This window comes from Homo sapiens, chromosome 19 (assembly GCF_000001405.40).
Source record: "Homo sapiens chromosome 19, GRCh38.p14 Primary Assembly".
Lineage (NCBI taxonomy): Eukaryota > Metazoa > Chordata > Mammalia > Primates > Hominidae > Homo > Homo sapiens.
The window spans coordinates 5,154,546-5,178,693 of record NC_000019.10 but is presented as its reverse complement, the minus strand read 5'-3'; the positions used below and the strand labels follow the sequence as shown (position 1 = coordinate 5,178,693).

General features: G+C 49.0%; 1 long non-coding RNA gene across 1 annotated transcript, besides 5 other annotated features; it reads right to left on the bottom strand.

Moving 5' to 3' along the window:
* Positions 1–229: 229 nt before the first annotated feature.
* On the bottom strand, positions 230–948 carry PTPRS-AS1 (PTPRS antisense RNA 1). Its single transcript, NR_186338.1, has one exon. It is a non-coding gene; the product is annotated as a PTPRS antisense RNA 1 (long non-coding RNA).
* Positions 1,777–1,826: an enhancer, noted in NCBI's record as "active region_13799". NCBI's record gives its function as "activates an Ori minimal core promoter by ATAC-STARR-seq in GM12878 lymphoblastoid cells {active_cell/tissue: GM12878}" and the evidence as "EXISTENCE:reporter gene assay evidence [ECO:0000049][PMID:35858748]".
* Positions 1,837–1,926: an enhancer, noted in NCBI's record as "active region_13798". NCBI's record gives its function as "activates an Ori minimal core promoter by ATAC-STARR-seq in GM12878 lymphoblastoid cells {active_cell/tissue: GM12878}" and the evidence as "EXISTENCE:reporter gene assay evidence [ECO:0000049][PMID:35858748]".
* Positions 4,558–4,749: a silencer, noted in NCBI's record as "fragment chr19:5173956-5174147 (GRCh37/hg19 assembly coordinates)". NCBI's record gives its function as "represses an EF-1alpha promoter that drives an FKBP-Casp9 reporter gene in an ReSE screen in phorbol 12-myristate 13-acetate-treated (for megakaryocytic differentiation) K562 erythroleukemia cells {active_cell/tissue: K562(+PMA)}" and the evidence as "EXISTENCE:reporter gene assay evidence [ECO:0000049][PMID:32094911]".
* Positions 4,831–6,030: an enhancer, noted in NCBI's record as "MED14-independent group 3 enhancer chr19:5172675-5173874 (GRCh37/hg19 assembly coordinates)". NCBI's record gives its function as "activates an origin of replication core promoter dependent on BRD2, BRD4, P300/CBP and CDK7 cofactors, and independent of MED14, by STARR-seq in HCT116 cells {active_cell/tissue: HCT116}" and the evidence as "EXISTENCE:reporter gene assay evidence [ECO:0000049][PMID:35650434]".
* Positions 12,915–13,134: a silencer, noted in NCBI's record as "fragment chr19:5165571-5165790 (GRCh37/hg19 assembly coordinates)". NCBI's record gives its function as "represses an EF-1alpha promoter that drives an FKBP-Casp9 reporter gene in an ReSE screen in K562 erythroleukemia cells {active_cell/tissue: K562}" and the evidence as "EXISTENCE:reporter gene assay evidence [ECO:0000049][PMID:32094911]".

Below are 24,148 nucleotides of genomic sequence, written 5' to 3'. Positions count from 1 at the left end.
AGTGTTTATATGTACAAAAGCCATCGAATTGTATGCTTGCAGTTAGAGCACTGTCTTGTTTTGTTTTGTTTTTTGAGGTGGAGTCTAGCTCTGTCGTCCAGGCCGGAGTGCAGTGGTGCCATCTTATCTCAGCTCACTGCCACCTCCGCCTCCCAGGTTCAAGAGATTCTTAAGCTTCATCCTCCTGAGTAGCTGGGATTACAGGCACCTGCCACCATGCCTGCCTAAGTTTTGTATTTTTAGTAGAGAGGGGGTTTTGCCACGTTGGCCAGGTTGGTCTGGAATTCTTGACCTCAGGGGATCCACCTGCCTTGGCCTCCCAAAATGCTGGGATTACAGGCATGAGCCACAGAGCCTAGCCTGATTTTTTTTTTTAATGACGGTGATGATGATGACGACGATAGATCTGTGATATAAGCTCGGCCCGTCTGTTCCCTGGAACAGCATCTGAGCATTCTGACTCACAAATTGCATGGATGCTTGGGCTACCATTGCGGGAGAATCAGCAGGAAAGGAGAGGACAAGCAGCCCCCCATAGCCGCACCTTGAAGCCTCACCACCACCACCCCCGCCCCGGCAAGAACAGTGGACACAGGAGACCTTTCCACAGAAATGCCCAGACACACAGCAAACGCTTTTTAATCCAACAGCCGCAATGGCAGAGGAGATATTAGTTTCCTGTAAGATTCGACTCAATTAATTAGTTCCCAAATATCAGCCTATCCAGGCAAGCAAAGGAAAACAGAGATAAGTCCCAGCCCAGCCTTGCTTCATCTTTTAAAGGCAATTAACTCTTAGTTATTAGCTTTTAATTAGGGAGTAATAATGGCCTCGTTAATACGTTTTATTATACTTGTCACCAGGCAGCTGTTCCAAACAGAACCTATTATCAGATGGTGATGGCCCCGGTGTCAACCGCACTGATGCCGAGGCCGGGGCTCAGAGGCTGCCCTGTGCTCCTTCTCCAGGGGGGCAGGGCTGGACCATGAGCCCCACCTGATGCTATCATTGTGACCCTTTTCAAGTGATCCCCAGGCCCTCTAGGGTCTCTTGATTTCCACTCCTGTCCCCTGTGATAAACCGAAGGTCCTGTCTGGGTCATCCTGCTGCCCTACCATGGCTGTTTCAGACACACCAGCTGCCACTAATGACCCTGACGGCTTCCCTCACCTATGCTGGGTCTGGTCTCCCCTCTGTCCTATGATTAGGTACAAGGACAGCCACTGCCACTCTTTTCTTTTCTTTTCTTTCTCTCTCTTTCTTTCTCTTTCTCTTTTTCTTTCTTTCTTTCTTCTTTCCTTTCTTTCTTTCTTTCTTTCCTCTCTATTTCTTTTCTTTTTTGTTTTCAGGGTCTCATTTTGTCACCCAGGCTGGAGTGCCATGGTGCAATCTCAGCTCACTGCAGCCTCGACTTCCTGAGCTAAAGAGATCCTCTCGCCTCAGCTGCACAAGTAGCTGAGACTACAGACCCATGCCATACACCCAGCTAATTTTTTTTTCTTTTTTTTGAGACAGAGTCTGGCTCTTGTTGCCTAGGCTGGAGTGCAGTGGCCTGATCTCAGCTCACTGCAACCTCTGCCTCCCAGGCTCAAGCAATTCTCCTGCTTCAGCCTCCTGAGTAGCTGGTATTACAGGCATGTGTCACAACGCCTGACTAATTTGTGCACTTTTAGTACAGACGGGGTTTCCCCATGTTGGCCAGGCTGGTCTTGAAATCCTGACCTCGGGTGATCCGCCCGCCTCGGCCTCCCAAAGTGCTGAGCCACCACGCCCGGCTGTTTTTGTTTTGTTTTGTTTTGTTTTGTTCTTGTTTGTTTGTTTTGTATTTTTGGTAGAGATGGGGTTTCATTATGTTGTCCAGGCTGGTCTCAAACTCCTGGACTCAGGCGATCCAGGTGCTGGGATTACAAGCCTCCCAAAGTGCTGGGATTACAAGAGTGAGCCACCACATCTGGCCGATTGCCACTTTCTTTCTTTTTTTGAGACAGAGTCTTGCTCTGTCGCCCAGGCTGGAGGGCAATTGTGCAATCTCAGCTCACTGCAATGTCTGCCTCCCAGGTTCAAGCGATTCTCCTGCCTCAGCCTCCTGAGTAGCTAGGATTACAGGCATGCACCACCACCACCACCACGCCCAGCTAATTTTTTGTATTTTTAGTGGAGATGGGGTTTCATGGTGTTAGCTAGAATGGTCTCGATCTCCTAACCTCGTGATCTGCCTGCCTCAGCCTCCCAAAGTATTGGGATTACAGGCGTGAGCCACCACACCCGGCCCAATTGCCCCTTTCTTTAGCAAAGTTCCCATGCTGGAAATCACCTTACCATAGGTGTCCCTGGTAGGAGAAAGTTCCATGAGACTGAGTGAAATTGGAGGGTAAAATATCACAAGATACCCACAAAGAGCTGTGTGCATGAATGAGTTCACAGTTGCTCCAACTGCAATTGCCAAATGTCCATCAACTGGTAAATGTATAAACACACTGTGGCCCATCAATACAATGGAATACTACACAGCAATGAAAAAGGACTGCACTTTAGAAACATGGCTGTTGTTGGCCGGGCGTGGTGGCTCATGCCGGTAATCCCAGCACTTTGGGAGGCCGAGGCGGGCGGATCACAAGGTCAAGAGATCGGGACGATCCTGGCTAACAAGGTGAAACCCCGTCTCTACCCAAAATACAAAAATTAGCAGGGCGTGGTGGTGGGTGCCTGTAGTCCCAGCTACTTAGGAGGCTGAGGCAGGAGAATGGTGTGAACCCAGGAGGCAGAGCCTGCAGTGAGCCGAGATTGCACCACTGCACTCCAGCCTGGGCAACAGAGTGAGACTCCGTCTCAAAAAAAAAAAAAAAAAAGAAAGAAACATGGCTGTTTTGGGGTGAATCTGAAATGCATTGCACCAAGGGAAAGAAGCCAGACACAAATGGTGACATTCTGCACAATTCCATTTATATGAAGTGCTAAACATGTAATTCTCACTGATAGTTGGAGAAAACAGATCCGTAGTTGCCACTGAGTGTGGAGGGTTGACAAGGGAATATTCTGGAGGGAGTGAAGTGCCCTATATCTTGTTTTGGTTATGCGAGCGTATGCATTTGTCAAACTTATTGAACCATACAACTGAAGATATGTTTATTGACTGATATGTAAATAAGGTCTCAATAAACATTTAAAAAAATATTAGATGGGCCAGGCACGGTGGCTCACGCCAGTAATCCCAGCACTTTGGGAGGCTGAGGTTGGTGGATCACCTGAGATCAGGAGTTTGAGACCAGCCTGGCCAACATGGTGAAACCCCATCTCTACTAAAAATACAAAAATTAGCCAGGCGTGGTGGCAGGCACCTATAATCCCAGCTACTCTGGAGGCTGAGACAGGAGAATCGCTTGAATCCAGGAGGCAGAGGCTGCAGTGAGCCAAGATCGAGCTACTGCACTCTAACCTGGGCAAGACAGAGTGAGACTCTGTCTCAAAAAACAAAAACAAAAATTAGATGGGCTGGGCACAGTGGCTCATGCCTGTAATCCCAGCACTTGGGGAGGCTGAGGTGGGAGGATCGCTTGAGGTCAGGAATTCAAGACCAGCCTGGCCAACATGGTGAAATCCCTTGTCTACTAAAAACACAAAAATTAGCCAGGTGTGGTAGCACACACCTGTAATCTCAGCTACTCAGGAGGCTGAGGCACAAGAATCACTTGAACCTGGGAGACAGAGGCTGCAGTGAGCCAAGATCGTGCCACTGCACTCCAGCCTGGGTGACAGAGGGAGAAAGAAAAGAAAAGAAAAGAGGGACGGAAGGAGGGAAGGAAGGAAGGAAGGAAGGACCTGTGGCTGCCACATAGTAAGTCCTCAATTGTCAATTGCTAACTTAGCCTGTAATAATAGCTGCAGGCCAGGCCCTGGCCTGCCCTCTGGGGGTGTCTCCCAACACCCCCAGGGTTGAACATCTAATGACCACCAGGTAAAGATGGAAGAAGTGCCGGGCACAGTGGCTCATGCCTGTAATCCCAGCACTTTGGGAGGCCAAGGCGGGTGGATCGCCTGAGGTCAGGAGTTTGAGACCAGCCTGGCCAACATGGTGAAACTCCATCTGTACTAAAAATACAAAACTTAACTGGGTATGGTGGTGGGTGCCTGTAGTCCCAGCTACTTGGGAGGCTGAGGCAGGAGAATCACTTGAACCCGGGAAGCGGAGGTAGTAGTGAGCCGAGATCGCGCCACTGTACTCCAGCTTGGGCGACAAGAGTGCGATTCCGTCTCAAACAAAACAAAAAAACTTTGTTTTGGGGGCCACAGAGTAACTTGGGGAGGGTGGGTGGGGTCAGTCCAGAAAGGCGACCAGCTTGGGGAGCAACCAGAAAGGGCCCTTGCTACCCAAACACAGTTTGCTCGGGAACCACAAATCCCACACTGCTTTATTCAGCAAAGACCGCCCACATTTATCTTCTCATCTTCCAGTGAAGAAAACGACAGACATTACAGCAGCTCCATCACCCTCATCAGCTGTAGGACAAGCTGGACCGTGGTGACGAGACTTTGCTCTTTTCCCTTGGAAGGATGTTGGCATTCCTGGAAAAAGGTGCTTATACGTGTTTTGTTTGTTTGTTTGTTTTTTAGACGGAGTCTCGCCCAGGCTGGAGTGCAGTGGCTCAATCTCGGCTCACTGCAAGCTCCGCCTCCTGGATTCACGCCATTCTCCTGCCTCAGCCTCCCGAGTGGCTGGGACTACAGGTGCCCGCCACCACGCCCGGCTAATTTTTTGTATTTTTAGTAGAGACGGGGTTTTACCGTGTTAGCCAGGATGGTCTCGATCTCCTGACCTCGTGATCCGCCCGCCTCAGCCTCCCAAAGTGCTGGGATTACAGGCGTGAGCCACCGCTCCTGGCCTGTTTTTGTCTTTTTTTTTTCTTTTGAGATGGAGTCTCGCTCTGTTGCCCAGGTTGGAGTGCACTGGGGCAATCTTTGCTCACTGCAACCCACACCTCCCAGGTTCAAGCAATTCTCGTGCCTCGGCCTCCTGAGTAGGTGGGATTGCAGGCACGCGCCATCACACCCGGCTAATTTTTATATTTTTAGTACAGATGGGGTTTCACCATGTTGGGTCTCAAACTCCTGACCTGGTCAGGCTGGTCTCAAACTCCTGACCTCAAGTGATCCACCTCCCTTGGCCTCCCAGAGTGCTGGGATTACAAGCCTGAGCCACCATACCCAGCCCTCACAAGCATTTTTGAAACATGAGTTTTGAGATGATATTTCTTTGTGACATCAATAACACCACCCACACCCACAGCGGTTATTTCAGGCTTGTGTCGTGGGGAGGTTTTCAGTTACTAGCACAGCCTGGGGCCATCCCTTTGGAGCTGACAGTCTTAACTCTGAGGACAAACTGGGGTTTCTGGAAAAGAATGAAGCTTTTGCACAAATGGCTCAGTCACCAAGGGTGTGACCTTTCGCTGATTCATCATGATTTTCTTTTCCTGTTGGAGACAGAAATGGATGATTCACTGTGGAGTATATTTAAAAATTCGATCTAAATGCTTCCGATAAGATTATTTGCAGGATTTAGAAAATTTTTATTTTATTTATTTTAAGACAGGATCTTGCTCTGTCACCCAGGCTGGAGTGCAGTGGTGTGATCATAGCTCACTGCAGCCTTGAACTCCTGGGCTCAAGCGATCCTCCCGCCTCAGCCTCCCAAGTAGCTGGGACTCAGGCATGCACCATCACGCTCAGCTAATTAAAAAAAATTTAGTACAGACAGTCTTGCTATGCTGCCCAGGCTGACCTCAACCTCCTGACTTCAAGTGATCCTCCCTCCTCAGCTCTGTGAAGTATTGGGGTTACAGGTGTGAGCCCCATCACTCTCTTTTTTTTTGGAGACGGAGTCTCACTCTGTCATCCAGGCTGGAGTGCAGTGGCGTGATCTTGGCTCATTGCAACCTCCACCTCCTGGGTTCAAGCTATTCTCCTGCCTCAGCCTCCCAAGTAGCTGGGACTACAGGCGCCCGCCACCACATCCGGCTAATTTTTTGTATTTTTAGTAGAGACGGGGTTTCACCATGTTAGCCAGGATGGTCTCATCTCCTGTCCTTGTGATCTGCCCTCTTCAGCCTCCCAAAGTGCTGGGATTACAGGCGTGAGCCACCGCACTCGGCTTTCTTTCTCTCTTTTTTTTTTTTTTTTTTTTTTGATACGGAGTCTCACTCTTGTTGCCCAGGCTGGAGTGCAGTGGTGCAGTGGTGCAATCTGGGCTCACTGCAACATCTGCCTCCCAGGTTCAAGCGATTCTCCTGCCTCAGCCTCCCAAGTAGCTGGGATTACAGGCATGTGCCACCACACCCGGCTAATTTTGTATTTTTAGTAGAGACAGGGTTTTACTATGTTGGTCAGGCTGGTTTTGAACCCCTGACCTCAGGCGATCTGCCCACTTTGGCGTCCCAAAGTGCTGGGATTACAGGCATGTGCCACGACATGAGGCCTTTTTTTTTTTTTTTTTTTAAAGACAGGGTCTCATTCTTTCGCCCAGGCTGGAGTGCAGTGGTGTGATCGTAGCTCACTGCAGCCTCAAACTCCTGGGCTCAAGTGATCCTCTTATCTCAGCCTCCTGAGTAGCTGAGACTACAGGTGCCCACCACCACGCCCAGCTCACTTTTTGATTTTTTGGTAGAGACGAAGTCTTACTCTGTTGCCCAGGCTGGTCTTAAACTCTTGGCCTCAAGTGATCCTCCCGCCTCAGCTTCCTCAACCGTTGGAATGCCAGGCATGAGCCAGCACACCTGACCTGGTTTTTCTCATTTATCAACATCAAACGTAAGAGAAGAAAAAGCTGGGTGTGACCCCTGACCCAGATCTCAGCAACTGACGCTGAGCTAGATGGATGTAGAAACGCAAAAGATTAAACATCAAATCAACCCTCTCACTGACGGGAAATGGCCATCGTGGAATTTAAAAAATAGTATGTTTCAAGACAGTTCTGACAAAAGGCTTTTAATCCAATGAGAGTATACTCAACCTCGCTCGTTCTAAGAGGAATGAATGTTTAAGCCATAATCAGATATCACTTTTGATTTATCAAACAGATCACAAAAACGTGGTAACAGCTTACATCTGGGTAGATAGCGGGAAGTGCACACCCTCCTTTACCACACATCGGGGGTGCACAAGGCATTTGGGGTGACCTGGCTGCAGGATTAGAAGTAAAATTACAGGCCAGGCACTGTGGCTTGTGCTGTAATCCCAGTGCTTTGAGAGGCTGAGGTGAGAGGATTGCTTGAGCCCAGGAGTTCAAGACCAGCCTGGGCAACATAGTGAGACCCCCCATCTGTACAAAAAATTTAAAAATTAGCTGGGTGTGGTGGCTCTGCCTGTAGTCTCAATTACTTGGGAGGGTGAGGTGGGAGGATTGCTTGAGCCCAGAAGGTTGAGGCTGCAGGAACTCCTGATCACGCTACTGCTCTCCAGCCTGAGCAACAAAGTGAGACTCTCAGAAAAAAAAATAAATAAACAAAATAAAATTACAGATACTTCCATTTGGCAATCTCCCCTTTTGTTTCTTCAGGAAATTGTTCTAGAGAAACACGCAGATGCTAACATGCACAGAGAAGCCGGCTTTGCTGTGGCTCACCCATAACTGGGAGCCACTGGGAACAAGTCAGTTCCCAGTTAGAGGTCTAACTCTGTCTCCCAGGCTGGAGTGCAGTGGTGCGATCTCAGCTCACTACAACCTCCACCTCCTGGATTCCAGCGATTCTCCAGCCTCAGCCTCCCAAGTAACTGAGATTACAGGCGCCCACCACCACGCCTGGCTAATTTTTGTATTTTTAGTAGAGATGGGGTTTCACCATGTTGGCCAGGCTGGTCTCGAACTCCTGACCTCAGGTGATCCACCTGCCTCAACCTCCCAAAGTGCTGGGATTACAGGCGTGAGCCACCGTGGCCCAGCCTTCTCAGCTTCTTTTACATCTCCTTTTGTTTGCTTTCTCTTCTTCTCCTCTGCCTCCACCCTGCACCAGCCCAGTCCTCTCTGCACTGGTCCACCTGTTCCCGTCCTCACTGCCCCACCGCCACCAACCCACAGCCTGTCCTCCCTGCAGCAGCCAGTAGAGGGCGCCTGTGAGCACCTGAGTCAGGTCCTGTCCCTCCTCTGCCCACAGCCCTCCATGGCTCCCACCTTCCTCAGGGTCACAGCCTAAGGTCCACAAGGCCTTGCATGACATGTTCATCACCTTGCTGCCCTCCCCTCCTTCCTCTCTTCCCCTGGCTCACTCTGCTGCAGCCACAGGGCCCTCCTCACTGTTCCTCCAGCACACCAGGCACAGTCCTGCCCCAGGACCTTTGCATGGGCTGTGCACTCTGCCTGGAGCTCTCGTCCTCCAAATATACACTTGACTCACTCTCTCCCTTCAGGTCTCTGCTCAAATGTCACCTTCTCAGTGGGACCCTGAACAACCTATATATTTAGCTTAGTGCAAAAGTCATTGTGTGCTGCAATGACTTTTGCACCAACCTAATACAGTTGTTCCCATCACCGTTAGTTTTCTTCTTTCTTCTTTTTCCTTCTTTTTCTTCTTTCCTCCTCCTCCTTTCTCTCCTCCTCCTTCTTCTTCCTTCTTCTTTTATCGCATAGCATGTACAACCTTCTAACCTGCTCCCCAATTTGGTTATTTATCTCATCCGTCTCCCCGAGGGGCTGTGAGCTGCTGTGGGCAGGGATTTTTCTTTTTTTTCCCCATATTTGCCCAGTGTGGCCCAAGCTCCTGGGATAACACCAGGAAAGTGAAGGTGTTTTCTGAGTGACTGAATGTAAACTCCTTTCTCTTTGCTATGGTCTGAATGGGTCCCCCCAAAGTCATGTGTTGGAAACTGATTCTCCAATGCAACAGTGTTGGGAGATGGGGCCTTTGGGGGAGGTGTTTAGGATTCGTGCCATTATAAAAGGTTTCCTGGAGATTTTGACTCCTTTCCCATCCTGCCTTCTGACATGTGAGAAGGTGGCATTCAAGACATCATTCTGGAAGCTGAGAGCAGCCTTCACCAGAGGCTGGAGCCTTGATCTTGGACTTTCCAGCCTCCAGAACCACGAGAAATAAATCTATGATCTTTGTAAATTACCCAGTCCATGATATTCTCTTGTAGTGGCACAAAGGGACTAAGCCATTACTTCTCCCTCTTACGTGTAATGTGACTCATCTGTAAGGAAGATCTGTCCCTTCTCCCTCCATTTAGGTATTTATTCAATTACTTATAGCAGTTTGGATATTTATTTTATTCTCTAGGTGATAATCCCACACTGTCACTAATTTTATTGTTCAAATTGTTTCAGCTTCAGCCACTGGGAGCTGCTTCGGTTGGGTCTGGTGTCCTTTCTATATATCTATACCCTTTTTTGAGCATTTCCTTATTTTCTGGGAACACAAGATGCTTCAGGTTTATCTTGTGTTTTCTGTTTTTCTTTCTCTCTCTCTCTCTCTCTTTTTTTTTTTTTTTTTTGTTGTTGAGATGGAGTCTTGCTGTATTGCTCAGGCTAGAGTGTAGTGGCATGATCTCGGCTCACCTCCTGGGTTCATGTGATTCTCCTGCCTCAGCCTCCCGAGTAGCTTGGATTACAGGTGCCCACCACCACGCCCAGCTAATTTTTGTATTTTTAGTAGAGATGGGTTTTTGCGATGTTGGCCAGGCTGGTTTCGAACTCCTGACCTCAGGTGATCTGCCCACCTCAGCCTCCCACAGTGCTGGCATTACAGGCATGAGTCACCGAGCCCAGACCCCCATCGAATCATTCATGTAGGCTGGGTATGGCCAACTTTGGGAGGCCAAGGCGGGAGGATCGCTTGAGCCCAGGACTTTAAGACCAGCCTGGGCGACAAAGTGAGACCCCTATCTCTACAAAAAAAATAAAAAATTAGCTGGGCACAGCGGTATGTGCCTGTACCTTGTCTTGTGTTTTCTCTGTCCCAGTCATAAAATCAGTGATTCCTCCCCTGGTTCCTTTTATTGGAGAATGGTATTTAGATCGGGGTGCTAGTATGCTCACTGCTATTGGGGTATCAGATTAGCCATGTGTACACACATCTTTATTTATTTCTTCTTAACATTTTTCTTTTTGTAGGGATGGGGCTGTGCTATGTTGTCCAGGCTGGTCTTGAACTCCTAGCCTCAAGCGATTCTCCCCAAGCCACCCTGGTCTCCCAAATAGCTGGGATTACAAGTTTGAGCCCTTTCACCTGTATTCATAATATAAATATATATACTTACATATTTATTTCTGCATCTATATGTACTGACTATATATTTCTATAACATCTGTCTATATATATATATTAGAAAATCATGGATTGATACTGACACTTTTTTTTTTTTTTTTTGAGACGGAGTCTCGCTATGTCACCCAGGCTGGAGTGCAGTGGCGCAATCTCGGCTCACTGCAAGCTCTGCCTCCTGGGTTCATGCCATTTTCCTGCCTCAGCCTCCCGAGTAGCTGGGACTACAGGCGCCCACAACCACGCCCAGCTAATTTTTTTTTTGTTTTTAGTAGAGACAGGGTTTCACTGTGTTAGCCAGGATGGTCTCGATCTCCTGACGTCATGATCCACCCACCTTGGCCTCCCAAAGTGCTGGGATTACAGGCATGAGCCACTGCGCCCAGCCTATACTGACACTTCTGATTCCAACCAGCACAATGTTCATTCTAGCCGCTTCCTTTACCCTTGACGTAACTTTTTTCGCTGACAGAGAGAAACCTAGCTCATCTACAATTAATTCACTCATTTGCTCAATTGCAATATTCACATATAGTAGGTACAGATGGCTAAGCCATGAGAACTAGATTTTTGAACTAGAGTATAGTGTTGGTGTATAGGTATTTTCATTTTTAGCCTAACAGTATCCAGTGGAAACATTGTTTCCCAAATTTACTGAGATCAACTCCATTCTTCCCCTGGCTCTTCAGTGTGGTTGATTTTCATTTGTGGTGCAGCTGAGTTTATATTTTACTATTTGTTTTCCATTTGGAGTACACATCATATCCTTGATTTTAATCAGTTATCTTTTAAAGTGTGTATAACATGACTATGATTTTTCAGTCAGAGCTATACCAAATGGTTCTCAGAGAGTGGGCACTCCCTCTTCATTCCTGCTACTCTTTTTCCCATACCACTTCCAGCCTCTTTTTTTTTTTTCTTTTCCTTTTTTGCAACAGAGTCTCCCTCTGTTACCCAGGCTGGAGTGCAGTGGCGCGATCTCGGCTCACTGCAAGCTCCGCCTCCCGGGTTCACGCCATTCTCCTGCCTCAGCCTCCCGAGTAGCTGGGACTACAGGCGCCCGCCACCACGCCTGGCTAATTTTTTGTATTTTTAGTAGAGACGGGGTTTCACTGTGTTAGCCAGGATGGTCTCGATCTCTTGACCTCGTGATCCACCTGCCTTGGCCCCCAAAGTGCTGGGATTACAGGCATAAGCTTCCGCACCTAGCCTTTTTTTTTTTTTTTTTTTTTTTTAAGAGATGGGATCTGGCTCTGTCACACAGGCTGGAGTGCAGTAGCACAATCACGAGTCATTGCATCCCTGACCTCCTAGGCTCAAATGATCCCCCTACCTCAGCTTCCTGAGTAGCTGGGACTACAGGTGTGCACCACCACGTCTGGCTAATTAAAAACAATTTTTTTTTCAGAGATAGGGTCCTGCTATGTTGCCTAGACTGGTCTCGAAATCCTGGCCTCAAGCAATCCTCCCACCTTGGCCTCCTAAAGTGCTGAGATTACAGGCATGAGCCACCTTGCCTACTGCCCTAATTCTTTTAAATAATTTCCCACCTGCCCCTGTAGGTAACCAACATCCTTAGTTTCTTGTCTATCCTTCCCGTATTTCTTTTTCATTGAGGTGAGATTCACATAAAGTTAGCCATTTGAAAGTGAACAATTCAGTGACATTTGACACACTCAGTGCTGTGCAGTCACCAATTCTCTTTAATTCCCAAATACCCCCAAAGAAGACCCTATGCCCATTAAATAGCCACTCCTCATTCCCCTGGCCCCAGCTGCTGGCAACCTACAATCCCCTTCCTGTCTCTGTAGATTGACCTGTCCTGGACATTTCATAGATATGGGATCACACACTGTGTGGCCTTTTGTGTCTGGCTTCTTTCACTGAGCATGATGCCAAGGTTCATCCACACTACTGTAGCCTGTGTCAGACCCCCATTCCTTTTAATGGCTGAGTGATATTCCATTGTATGGATGGATCACATTGTGTTTACCCATCCATCAAACAACAGACACTTGGATTGTTTCCACCTTTTGGCCACTGTGAATCATGTTGCTATGACCATGGTGTGCAAACATCTGAGTCTCTGCTTCCAATTCTTTTGGTGTATCCTGGAAGTCAGATTCCTGGGTCATACAGTGACTCTGTGTTTAACTTTTTATTTGAAATGGAGTTTCACTCTTGTCGCCCAGGCTGGAGTGCAATGGTGCGGTCTCAGCTCACTGCAACCCTCCTGGGTTCAATTGATTCTCCTGCCTCAGCCTCCCGAGTAGCTGGGATAACAGGAGCTCACCACCACCCCCAGCTAATTTTTGTATTTTTAGTAGAGATGGAGTTTTACCATGTTGGCCAGGCTGGTCATGAACTCCTGACCTCAGGTGATCCACCCGCCTCGGACTCCTAAAGTGCTGGGATTATAGGCATGAGCCACCAAGCCTGGTCTGTGTTTAACTTTTTGAAGGACTCAGACTATTCCCAGGTACTTTCTTAACACCTGGTAATGTTGATGCTGGCATCTGTCTCCTCTAAAGGGCATGGGCTTTGTGGGGCAAGAACTTGCTGTATCCTCAGTGTCTGGCTCCCCAGTGTGTGTGTGGGCTTGGGAAAAACTAGCACAGTGCAAGGGCTCAGTAGCAGCTGGCAGAATTGATAAGACTGAGAGGTGAGGCCAACTGGACTTCCTGGGTCGAGCGGGGACTTGGAGAACTTTTCTGTCTTACAAGAGGTTTGTAAAATGCACCAATCAGTGCTCTGTAAAATGGACCAATCAGCACTCTGTAAAATGGACCAATCAGCAGGACATGGGCAGGGACAAATAAGGGAATAAAAGCTGGCCGCCCCAGCCAGCAGCAGCAACCCGCTCGGGTCCCCTTCCACGCTGTGGAAGCTTTGTTCTTTTGGTCTTCATAATAAATCTTGCTGCTGCTCACTCTTTGGGTCCGTGCCACCTTTAAGAGCTGTAACACTCACCACGAAGGTCCGCGGCTTCATTCTTGAAGTCAGCGAGACCACGAACCCACTGGAAGGAACCAACTCTGGACACATCTTGGGGGCTTGTCTGGGATATCGCCTTTTGGTGAGTACCATCGGACCCATTTTGCTTGCTATTCTGTCCTATTTTTCCTTAGAATTCAGGGGCTAAACACCGGGCACTTGTCGGCCAGTTAAAAGCAACTAGCGTGGCCACCAGACTAAAGACACTGGTGTCGGGCTTTCTGGGAAAGGGCTCTCTAACAATCCCCAACTCTTTGGAGTTGGGAGCGTTGGTTTGCCTGGAACCAGCTTCCACTTTTCCTGTACTTCCGGACTGAGCCAAGTGTCAACAGAGAGGAAAGCCATTTAGCTCCAGGGCCCTGACAAAAAGTTGGTTGACCCTGCAGCCATGAGCGGAACTCTCAAAGTCACGTCACCCAAGCGAGACTTGCCCATTTATCCTATCTATCCTGACCCTTGCCTCCTGGGTCCTAATGCCTGTCAGACATACTTCCTCCCACCTCTCCTCTCCGAGGCTAGTCCTGTTTCTAAAAACCACTCCCTGTCTCTGGTGCTTTTCTAGTTTCTCCTATAAGAACGACTTCTAGTATACATTTCAGGACTCTGTTCCTTTCTTTAGGCATCTGGGCTCACCAATCAGAAAGACAATCTTTGCCCAAAGCCCTGTCAGTGGGGAGACTATCTGGAATTTTAGGATCCCTCCTCAGACTAGCAGGCCTAACAAAGGCTATTCCCAAAGCTAGGATATGGGGAGCCTCAGAAATGATATCCTTCCTATTCACATGATGAGAAGTGAGGACAAAAGGCATCACTCTAGAGATCCCTTCCCTCCCTCAGGGTATGGCCCTTCACTCCATTTTGAGACATAACATCTTTATAGAACAAGGGTAAGGTCCCAATACTAACAGGAGAAAATGCTTAGGACTCTAACAGGTCTTCGAGAATGTGTTGGTAAGGGCCACTAAATCTGTTTTTTCTCAGTCTTCTTTGTGGTCTAAGAGGAAAGGCAAGGATGCATGTTTCCGAGAATGCATCAGTAAGGGCCACTAAATCTGACCTTCCTCAGTCCTCTTTGTGGTCTAGGAGGAAAACTAGTGTTTCTGCTGCTGCTTCGGTGAGCGCAACTATTACGATCAGCAGGGTCCAGGGACTGTTGCAGGTTCTTGGGTGGGGGAGGGGGGAAAACAAACCAAAACTGCGAGCAGTTTTTCTTTCACATGGGAAACACTCAGGCATCAACAGGCTCAACCTTGAAATGCATCCTAAGCCACTGGGACCAATTTGACCCAGAAACCCTGAAAAAGAGGTGGCTCATTTTTTTTTTCTGCACTATGGCCTTGCCCCAATATTCTCTCTCTGATGGGGAAAAATGGCCACCTGAAGGAAGTATAAATTACAATACTATCATGCAGCTTGACTTTTTCTGTAAGAGGGAAGGCAAATGGAGTGAAATACCTTATGTCCAAGCTTTCTTTTCATTGAAGGAGAATCCACAACTATGCAAAGCTTGCAATTTACATCCCACAGGAGGAGCTCTCAGCTTACCTCTATATCCTAGCCTTCCTACAGCTCCCATTCCTATTAAGGATAAGCCTCGTCTAATCTCCCCCACCCAGAAGGAAACAAGCAAAGAAATCTCCAAGGGACCACAAAACCCCCTGGGCTATCATTTATGTCCCCTTCAAGCTATAGGGGTAGGGATTTTGGCCCAATCTGGGTACATGTCCCTTCTCCCTCTCGATTTAAAGCAGATCAAGGTAGACCTGGGGAAGTTTTCAGATGATCCTGATAGGTATACAGATGTCCTATAGGGTCTAGGGCAAACCTTTGACCTCACTTGGAGAGATGTCATGCTATTGTTAGATCAAACCCTGGTCTTTAATGAAAAGAATGGAGCTTTAGCTGCAGCCCAAGAGTTTGGAGATACCTTTTATCTTAATCAAGTAAATGATAGGATGACAGCTGAAGAAAGGGACAAATTCCCTACTGGTCAGCAAGCCATCCCCAGTATGGATCCCCACTGGGACCTCGACTCAGATCATGGGGACTGGAGTCGCAAACATCTGTTGACCTGTGTTCTAGAAGGACTAAGGAGAATTAGGAAAAACCCCATGAATTATTCAATGATGTCCACCACAACTCAGGGAAAGGAAGAAAATCCTACCGCCTTCCTCGAGTGGCTATAGGAGGCCTTAAGAAAATATACTCCCCTGTCACCTGACTCTCTCGAGGGTCAACTGATCCTCAAACATAACTTTATTACCCAATCAGTGAAGATATCAGGAGAAAGCTCCAAAAGTGAGCCCTGGGCCCTGAACAAAATCTGGATGCATTGTTAAACCGGGCAACCTCGGTGTTCTATAATAGGGACCAAGAGAAACAGGCCGAAAAGGAAAAGCGAGATCAGAGGAAGGCCACAGCCTTAGTCATGGCCCTCAGACAAACAAACCTTGGTGGTTCAGAGAGGACAGAAAATGGAACAGGCCAATCACCTAGTAGGGCTTGTTATCAGTGTGGTTTGCAAGGACACTTTAAAAAAGATTGTCCAATGAGAAACAAGCTGCCCCCTAGCCCATGTCCACTATGCTGAGGCAATCACTGGAAGGTGCACTGCCCCAGAGGGCAAAGGCTCTGTGGGCCAGAAGCCCCCAACCAGATGATCCAACAACAGGATTGAGGGTGCCTGGGGCAAGCGCCAGCTCATGTCATCACTCTCACTGAGCCCCGGGTATGATTAACCAATGAGGGCCAGGAAATTGACTTCCTCCTGGATACTGGTGCAGCCTTCTCAGTGTTAATCTCCTGCCCCAGACAGCTGTCCTCAAGGTCCATTACCATCCGAGGAATCCTGGGACAGCCTGTAACCAGGTATTTCTCCCACCTCCTCAGTTGTAATTGGGAGACTTTGCTCTATTCACATGCCTTTCTTGTTATGCCTGAAAGTCCCACACCCTTATTAGGGAGGGACATATTAGCCAAAGCTGGAGCTATTATTTACTTGAATATGGGGAACAAATTACCCATTTGTTGTCCCCTACTTGAGGAGGGAATCAACCCTGAAGTCTGGGCATTGGAAGGACAATTTGGAAGGGCAAAAAATGCCCGCCCCATCCAAATCAGGCTAAAAGATCCCATCAATTTTCCTTATCAAAGGCAATATCCCTTAGGGCCTGAAGCTCATAAAGGATTACAGGATACTGTCAGACATTTAAAAGCTCAAGGCTTACTAAGAAAATGCAGTAGTCCCTGCAACACCCCAATTCTAGGAGTACAAAAACCAAATGGTCAGTGGAGGCTAGTGCAAGATCTTAGACTAATCAATGAGGCAGTAATTCCTCTATATCCAGTTGTACCCAACCCCTATACCCTGCTCTCTTGAATACCAGAGGAAGCAGAATGGTTCACTGTTCTGGACCTCAAGGATGTCTTCTTCTGTATTCCCCTGCACTCTGACTCCCAGTTTCTCTTTGCTTTTGAGGATCCCACAGACCACAGGTCCCAACTTACATGGAAGGTCTTGCCCCAAGGGTTTAGGGATAGCCCTCATCTGTTTGGTCAGGTACTGGCCCAAGATTTAGGCCACTTCTTAAGTCCAGGCACTCTGGTCCTTCAATATGTGGATGATTTACTTTTGGCTACCAGTTTGGAAGACTCATGCCAGCAGACTACTCTCGATCTCTTGAATTTTCTAGCTAATCAAGGGTACAAGATGTCTAAATCAAAGGCCCAGCTCTGCCTACAAGTCAAATATCTAGGCCTAATCTTGGCCAGAGGAACCAGGGCCCTCAGCAAGGAATGAATACAGCCTATACTGGCTTATCCTCGCCCTAAGACATTAAAACAGTTGTGGGGGTTCCTTGGAATCACTGGCTTTTGCCGACTATGGATCCCCAGATACAGCGAGATACACTCTAAGGAGACCCAGAGGGCAAATACTCATCTAGTAGAATGGAGACCCAGAGGGCAAATACTCATCTAGTAGAATGGGAACCAGAGGCAGAAACAGCCTTCAAAACCTTAAAGCAGGCCCTACTACAAGCTCCAGCCTTAAGCCTTCCCACAGGAACAAACCTCTCTTTATACGTCACACAGAGAGCAGGAATAGCTCTTGGAGTCATTACTCAGACTCGTGAGACAACCCTACAACTAGTGGTGTACCTAAGGAAATTGACGTAGTAGCAAAAGCCTGGCCTCACTGCTTACAGGTAGTTGCGGCGATGGCCATCTTAGTATCAGAAGCTATCAAAATAATATAAGGAAAGGATCTCACTGTCCAGACTACTCATGATGTAAATGGCATACTAGGTGCCAAAGGAAGTTTATGGCTATTAGACAACCGCCTGCTTAGATACCAGGTGTTACTTGAGGGAATGGTCCTTCAAATACGCATGTGTGCACCCCTCAATCCTGCCACTTTTCTCCCAGAGGATGGGAAACCAATCAAGCATGACTGCCAACAAATTATAGTCCAGACTTAGGCCGCCTGAGAGGATCTCTTAGAAGTCCGCTTAGCTAATCCTGACCTTAATCCATATACCAATGGAAGTTCACTTGTGGAGAATGGGATATGAAGGGCAGGTTATGCCATAGTTATGTAACAGTACTTGAAAGTAAGCCTCTTCCCCCAAGGACCAGCGCTCAGTTAGCAGAACTAGTGGCACTTATCTGAGCCTTAGAACTGGGAAAGGGAAAAAGAACGTGTATACAGATAGCGAGTATGTTTATCTAATCCTACATGCCCATGCTGCAATATGGAAAGAAAAGGAGTTCCTAACCTCTGGGGGAACCCCCATTAAATACCACAAGGAAATCATGGAGCTATTGCATGCAGTGCAAAAACCCCAAGGAGGTGGCAGTCTTACACTGCTGAAGCTATCAAAAAGGGGAAGGAGAGGCAGGGAAAGACCAGCAGAGAGGAAAGAGAGAGAGACAGAAAGTCAAAGAAAGAAAGAAAGAGAGAGAGGGGAAAGACAGAAAGTCAAAGAAAGAAGGAAAGAGAGAAAGAGAGGAAGAGACAGAGACAAAGAGGGAGTCAGAGAGAGACAGAAAGAGAGAGACAGAAAGTCAAAGAGAGAAAGAGAGAGAGAGAGAGGGGAAAGACAGAAAGTCAAAGAAAGAAGGAAAGAGAGAAAGAGAGGAAGAGACAGAGACAAAGAGGGAGTCAGAGAGAGAGAGAAAGAGAGAGAGAGACAGAAAGTCAAAGAGAGAAGGAAAGAGAGAAAGAAAGAGATAGAAGTAGTAAAGAAAAAAACAGTGTACCCTATGCCTTTAAAAGCCTGGGTAAATTTAAAACCTACAATTGTTAATTGGAGGTCTTCTCCATGACCCTGTAACACTCCAATACCACCTTGTTGTCAGCGTAAACAGGGGCGTAGCCTGAAAGCACTGAGGCCACTGACAACCTGTAGCTTTCCTATCAAAAATCCTTAACCCAGCAGGTTTCCTAATAGGGGATCTAAATCCTAATTACCATACAAAGGTCTGACCAGACCTAGAAGGTACTCCCTTCAGGACAGGACAATAGATGGTTCCTCTCCGGTGATTAAGGGAAAAAGATACAATGGGTATTAAAATTGCCTAATAATTGGTCTGCTCAAACGTGAGAGCTGTTTGCACTCAGCCAAACCTTAAAGTACTTACAGAATCAGGAAGGAGCCATCTATACCAATTCTAAGTTAATATGGACTGAACGAGGTCTTATTAATAGCAAAGAATAATTGAAATCCCAGACTTACAAGGTTTTCAACAAAAGTAAAGTTTGCTAAAAGTTAACAACAGTGTAACATGTATTATCCTAACTTCTAATCTTGTGGAAATCAGACCCTATCAGTGCCCCTCAAAGCTCAACTCCATCAGCACAGAGCCATACAACTAATACCCCTACTTACAGGGTTAGGAATGGCCACTGCTACAGGAATCAGAATAGCAGGTTTGTCCACTTCACTAGCCTACTACCACACACTCTCAAAGGATTTCTCAGACAGTTTGCAAGAAATAACAAAATCTATCCTTACTCTACAATCCCAAATAGACTCTTTGGCATCAGTGACTCCAAAACCGTCAAGGTCTAGACCTCCTCACTGCTGAGAAAGGAGGATTTTGCACCTTCTTAGGGGAAGAGCATTGTTTTTCCGCTAATCAGTCAGGGATAATAGGAGACGCCGCCTGGCGTTTACAGGAAAAGGCTTCTGAAATCAGACAATGCCTTTCAAACTCTTATAACAACCTCTGGAATTGGGCGACATGGCTTTTCCCCTTTCTAGGTCCCGTGACAGCCATCTTGCTATTACTTGCCTTCAGGCCCTGTATTTTTAACCTCCTTGTCAAATTTGTTTCCTCTAGGATTGAGGCCATCAAGCTACAGATGATCTTACAAATGGAACCCCAAATGAGCTCAACTAACAACTTCTACTGAGGACCCCTGGACCAACCTGCTGGCCCTTTCACTGGCCTAAAGAGTTCCCCTCTGGAGGACACCACAACTGCAGGGCCCCTTCTTCGCCCCTATCCAGCAGGAAGTAGCTAGAGCGGTCATCGCCCAATTCCCAACAGCAGTTGGGGTGTCCTGTTTAGATGGGGGATTGAGAGATGAAGTCAGCTGGACTTCCTGGGTTGAGTGGGAACTTGGAGAACTTTTCTGTCTTACAAGAGGTTTGTAAAATGCACCAATCAGCACTCTGTAAAAATGCACCAATCAGCGCTCTGTAGCTAGAGGTTTGTAAAATGCACCAATCAGCACTCTGTAAAATGGATCAATCAGCACTCTGTAAAATGGACCAATCAGCAGGACATGGGCAGGGACAAATAAGGGAAAAAATTGGCCAGCCCAGGCAGCAGCGGCAACCCACTCGGGTCCCCTTCCACGCTGTGGAAGCTTTGTTCTTTTGCTCTTCACAATAAATCTTGCTCCTCACTCTTTGGGTCCAAGACACCTTTAAGAGCTGTAACACTCACTGTGAAGGTCCGCGGCTTCATTCTTATTTTAACATTTTTTAATTTTATTATTTTTTTTGAGACACAGTCTTGCTCTGTCGCCCAGGCTGGAGTGCAGTGGTGCGATCTCGGCTTACTGCAAGATCCACCTCCCAGGTTCACACCATTCTCCTGCCTCAGCCTCCCGAGCAGCTGGGACTACAGGCGCCTGCCACCACACCTGGCTAATTTTTTTTGTATTTTTTAGCAGAGATGGGGTTTCACTGTGTTAGCCAGGATGGTCTCAATCTCCTGAACTTGTGATCTGCCCGCCTCGGCCTCCCAAAGTGCTGGGATTACAGGCCTGAGCCACTGCGCCCAGCCTGCGGCTTCATTCTTGAAGTCAGCGAGACCATGCACCCACCAGAAGGAACCAACTCTGGACATAAGATCACGGTTGGTGAGTGTGGGAGACAGCCATGACCACCCTGGGCTAAGTCCTGGGCCATCTGTACTAGTTGCTACATCATCCTCCATGGCTCTCAGACCCACCCATGGGGAATCCACATGCCAAGTTCATGCCTGTCCTTCCGTCGGGTCCTCCCTCCAGAGCCTTCGCCTCCGGGGTCCTTCCAGAGCCTGACTTCCACCAACACCAGGACTCACAGAACCCCCTGCCACTTCCTGGGGACCAAGACCATATCCTTACCCTCTCAGGGGAGGTGGGAGGTGGCAGTCACAGGACCAGGCAATTAGGGATGGGGCTATTGATCTGTGATGGGGAAACAGACATTGCGGTGGTGGCTTGACTAATGGCCCCCAAAAAGATCTGTCCACATCTTCTTCTCCAGAACCCTGGGCTGTGACCTTTTCCTTGAAGAGTGCCTGTGCAGATGTAATTAAGGATCTTGAGATTTGGAGATCATCCTGGACTATGTGGGTGGACCCTAAGTCCCATTACAAGTGTCCTTATATTAGACACACACAGCAGACATGGAGAAGAGGAGGAGACGGGTGTGTAACCCCAGAGGCAGAGACTGCAGTGATTTGGCCACAAGCCCAGGAACACCTGGGGCCACCAGAAGCTGGAAGAGGTGGGGAAGGATCCCCCTGGACTCTTGGGAGGGGGCGTGGCCCTGCTGACACCTTGATCTCAGACTTCTGGCCTCCAGGGCTGGGAGAGGATAATTCTCTGTTGAAGCTCCCCAGTTTGCAGCACTCTGATGAGTACGGGGGTGAGAGGGCAACAGATGTTCTGGAACCAGCAGGGGCCCTGGGAAGGGGTGGGGGACACAGAGACTCTTTTCAAACTTCCCGTTTGGCACCCATACTTTGGGCTTTGTGTTTCTTTTTTTCTATTTTTTTTTTTTTTTTTTTTGAGATGGAGTCTTGCTCTTGTTGTCCAGGCTGGAGTGAAATGGCACGCGCTTGGCTCACTGCAACCTCTGCCTCCTGGCTTCTAGTGATTCTCCTGCCTCAGCCTCCCGAGTAGCTGGGATTACAGGCACTCACCACCATGCCTGGCTAATTTTTTGTATTTTTAGTAGAAACGGGGTTTCTCCATGTTGCCCAGGCTGGTCTCAAACTCCTGAACTCAGGTGATCCGCCCACCTCAGCCTCCCAAAGTGCTGGGATTATAGGCGTGAGCCACCGTACATGGCTGGCTTTGTGTTTCTAAAGCAGCTGCTGGGGCTGGTGGGGGTGGAGGCTGTCGTGGCCACAAGGACCCCCTCCTCCGTCTGGAAGCTGCAGGGAAGGGAGGCATTTGTCCCTGTCACCGAGTTAGCTGGGAGGCACGGATGCCCTGAGCCACCCACTCTTCCGCCCGCCTCCTGGCTGCTGTCACCCCTCACACTGCCTGCAGCAGCAAATAATTTTTATATTCTCCATTAACAGAGCAGCAGCGCTGAGTAAATCTAATCCGTAAATAACCCTCCCCGGGCTGGTGCCAAGGCCCCAGGCGTGTCCCCCAGCTTCCTTGTGTTCTGTGCCTCGTCTCTGGGGCCCTGGGAGTCCCTGGGAGCTTCTCTCCCTGATGATCATGACCAGGCTGTGACTCTTGAGTTCCAGAGCTGCCTCATGGGGCCAGGGGACAATTTGAGGTTGTGGGAGGAGTCGGGGCGGTGGCCACAGGGAGAGAGGGAGACACATCGGGATCTTAGCACCGTCATGGGAGCCGTGAATCTTGACCGTGGTGGAGTGGGAGCCAGAACTCTCCATTGCAGAAGGGGAGGGAGCCCAATCCGTGAATGGTGGGGTTGGTGGGGGGCAGCTGCAGGGGTCGGAGGCTGAGTGTGTCAGGCTCTCCCCGACCCCAGCACTTGGGCAGCAGGTGGCCCAAGGGTAGAGGGCAGAGCACCCCCAGTGGGTCGGACAGATGGACAGATGAATCAAAGTCCCTGGTCAAAGCCTCCTTTTTCCACCCGCTCCTGCGGGTGGCAGCGGGGGCAGTTGGCTGCCCACTGTCCATCTAACTGGAAGCCTTTGAGAGCCAAGGTGGACCTGGGCACTGAGGGGCTGTCCCTATGGGAGAACATTTTGTTGCAGGCATAGAGAAAGGGTGGAGGCTGCCACCACCCACTTCTTCTAAGTCAGGGCTGAGCACATTCTTTCCCATAAAGGGCCAGATTCTAAATACATTGGGCTTTGCAGGCCAGGTGGGCTCTGCAGTGACTCTTCAGGTCTGCTGTTGTCGGGGCGCCAGCTGTCATATGTAAATGAATGGGCATGTCCATGTGCCAACAAAACTTTATTGACAAAAACAGGTGGCGGGCTGCATTTGGTCGGAGGGCTGTAGGTTGCCAGGCCTTGCCCTAGAAGGTGCCTGCTCTCAACACAATGTACCCACAGCCTGATTCTCTGATCTGCCGTCCCATCGGGGGGTCATATCTGTTTAAGAGTCCCTCTTTAATAAAAAGGGTGTCCACTGACACCCTTCTGGTGGTCTGTGACCGACCACCACTTACCCTCCATCTCTGACCCCGTTCTTGTCTTTCAGAGCATGCATTAAAGATGTATTTTTGTTTTTTTCTCCCTTTTCCTCAGCAGTGTCCCCAGAGCCTGGCACAGAGGTTGCATAAAAATATTGCAGCTGGAATAAATGAACCAAACTCAGGTGCTGATTACGGAGTCTCACACACTGCCCCGAGATACGAGACCTCGGCATCGGGGCACCCACCCCGGCCCGAGTGCAGACCTCATCGGCTCCGCACGGTGACACTTTTGGGGACCTATCCACTCATCTTTACTCTGCTCGGCAGACAGCAACAGCCTGTCCCAAATAGCCTTCCCGTTTTAGAGCGTTTTGGAGAACAATGGAAAGGACGCTGCAGGCACCACCTGCTCCTGCCACGGCCCCTCTGCCAGCTTGGGGAGGCCCAGGGACGCTGACCTCACAGGGCCTAGGGCGGGCGGGGGGGCACCCCAGAGGCTTTGGTTTCAGGCTGTGTCTGTCCCCGCACACAGGGAAGGCTTTCGAGATGGAGAAAAGAGGGACACAGTCTTTGTCGGGAAATCGCAGCAGGTGGAGCATCCAAGCCTCCTGTGGCCACGGGCTTCACCCCACCCTGGATCCCTCCTCCCCACCTGCAGCACACAGGGGAACTGAGTCCTGGTGGTGTTGAGAGGATGCTGGAGGCGAGAGGGCCCCAGAAAGGAGAGTCGGTGCTGGGGGCAGTAGGTGGATGAAGCTTTTTTGTCAAGGGCACCCTCTGTTCAGGACACAAGCCCTCGGCACAGCAGGCAGGTGGACACTCCTTCTGCAGAGGGAACGCCGGGGCCCAGGGAGGGATGGCCTGGCCGCGTCCCCCCGAGCCCTGGCTGCTGGGCCTGGGTTTCTCCGGGTGTCCCAGCCCCCGTCCCACCACAGACACCCAGGGCCCAGTCCTGGGTCCCACCCCACCTCCACCCACTCCCTGCAGGTGACTTCATCCTCTAGTTCCAACACCTGCCAGCTGACGGCCCCTGACCACCTGCCTTGGGGCGGCCTC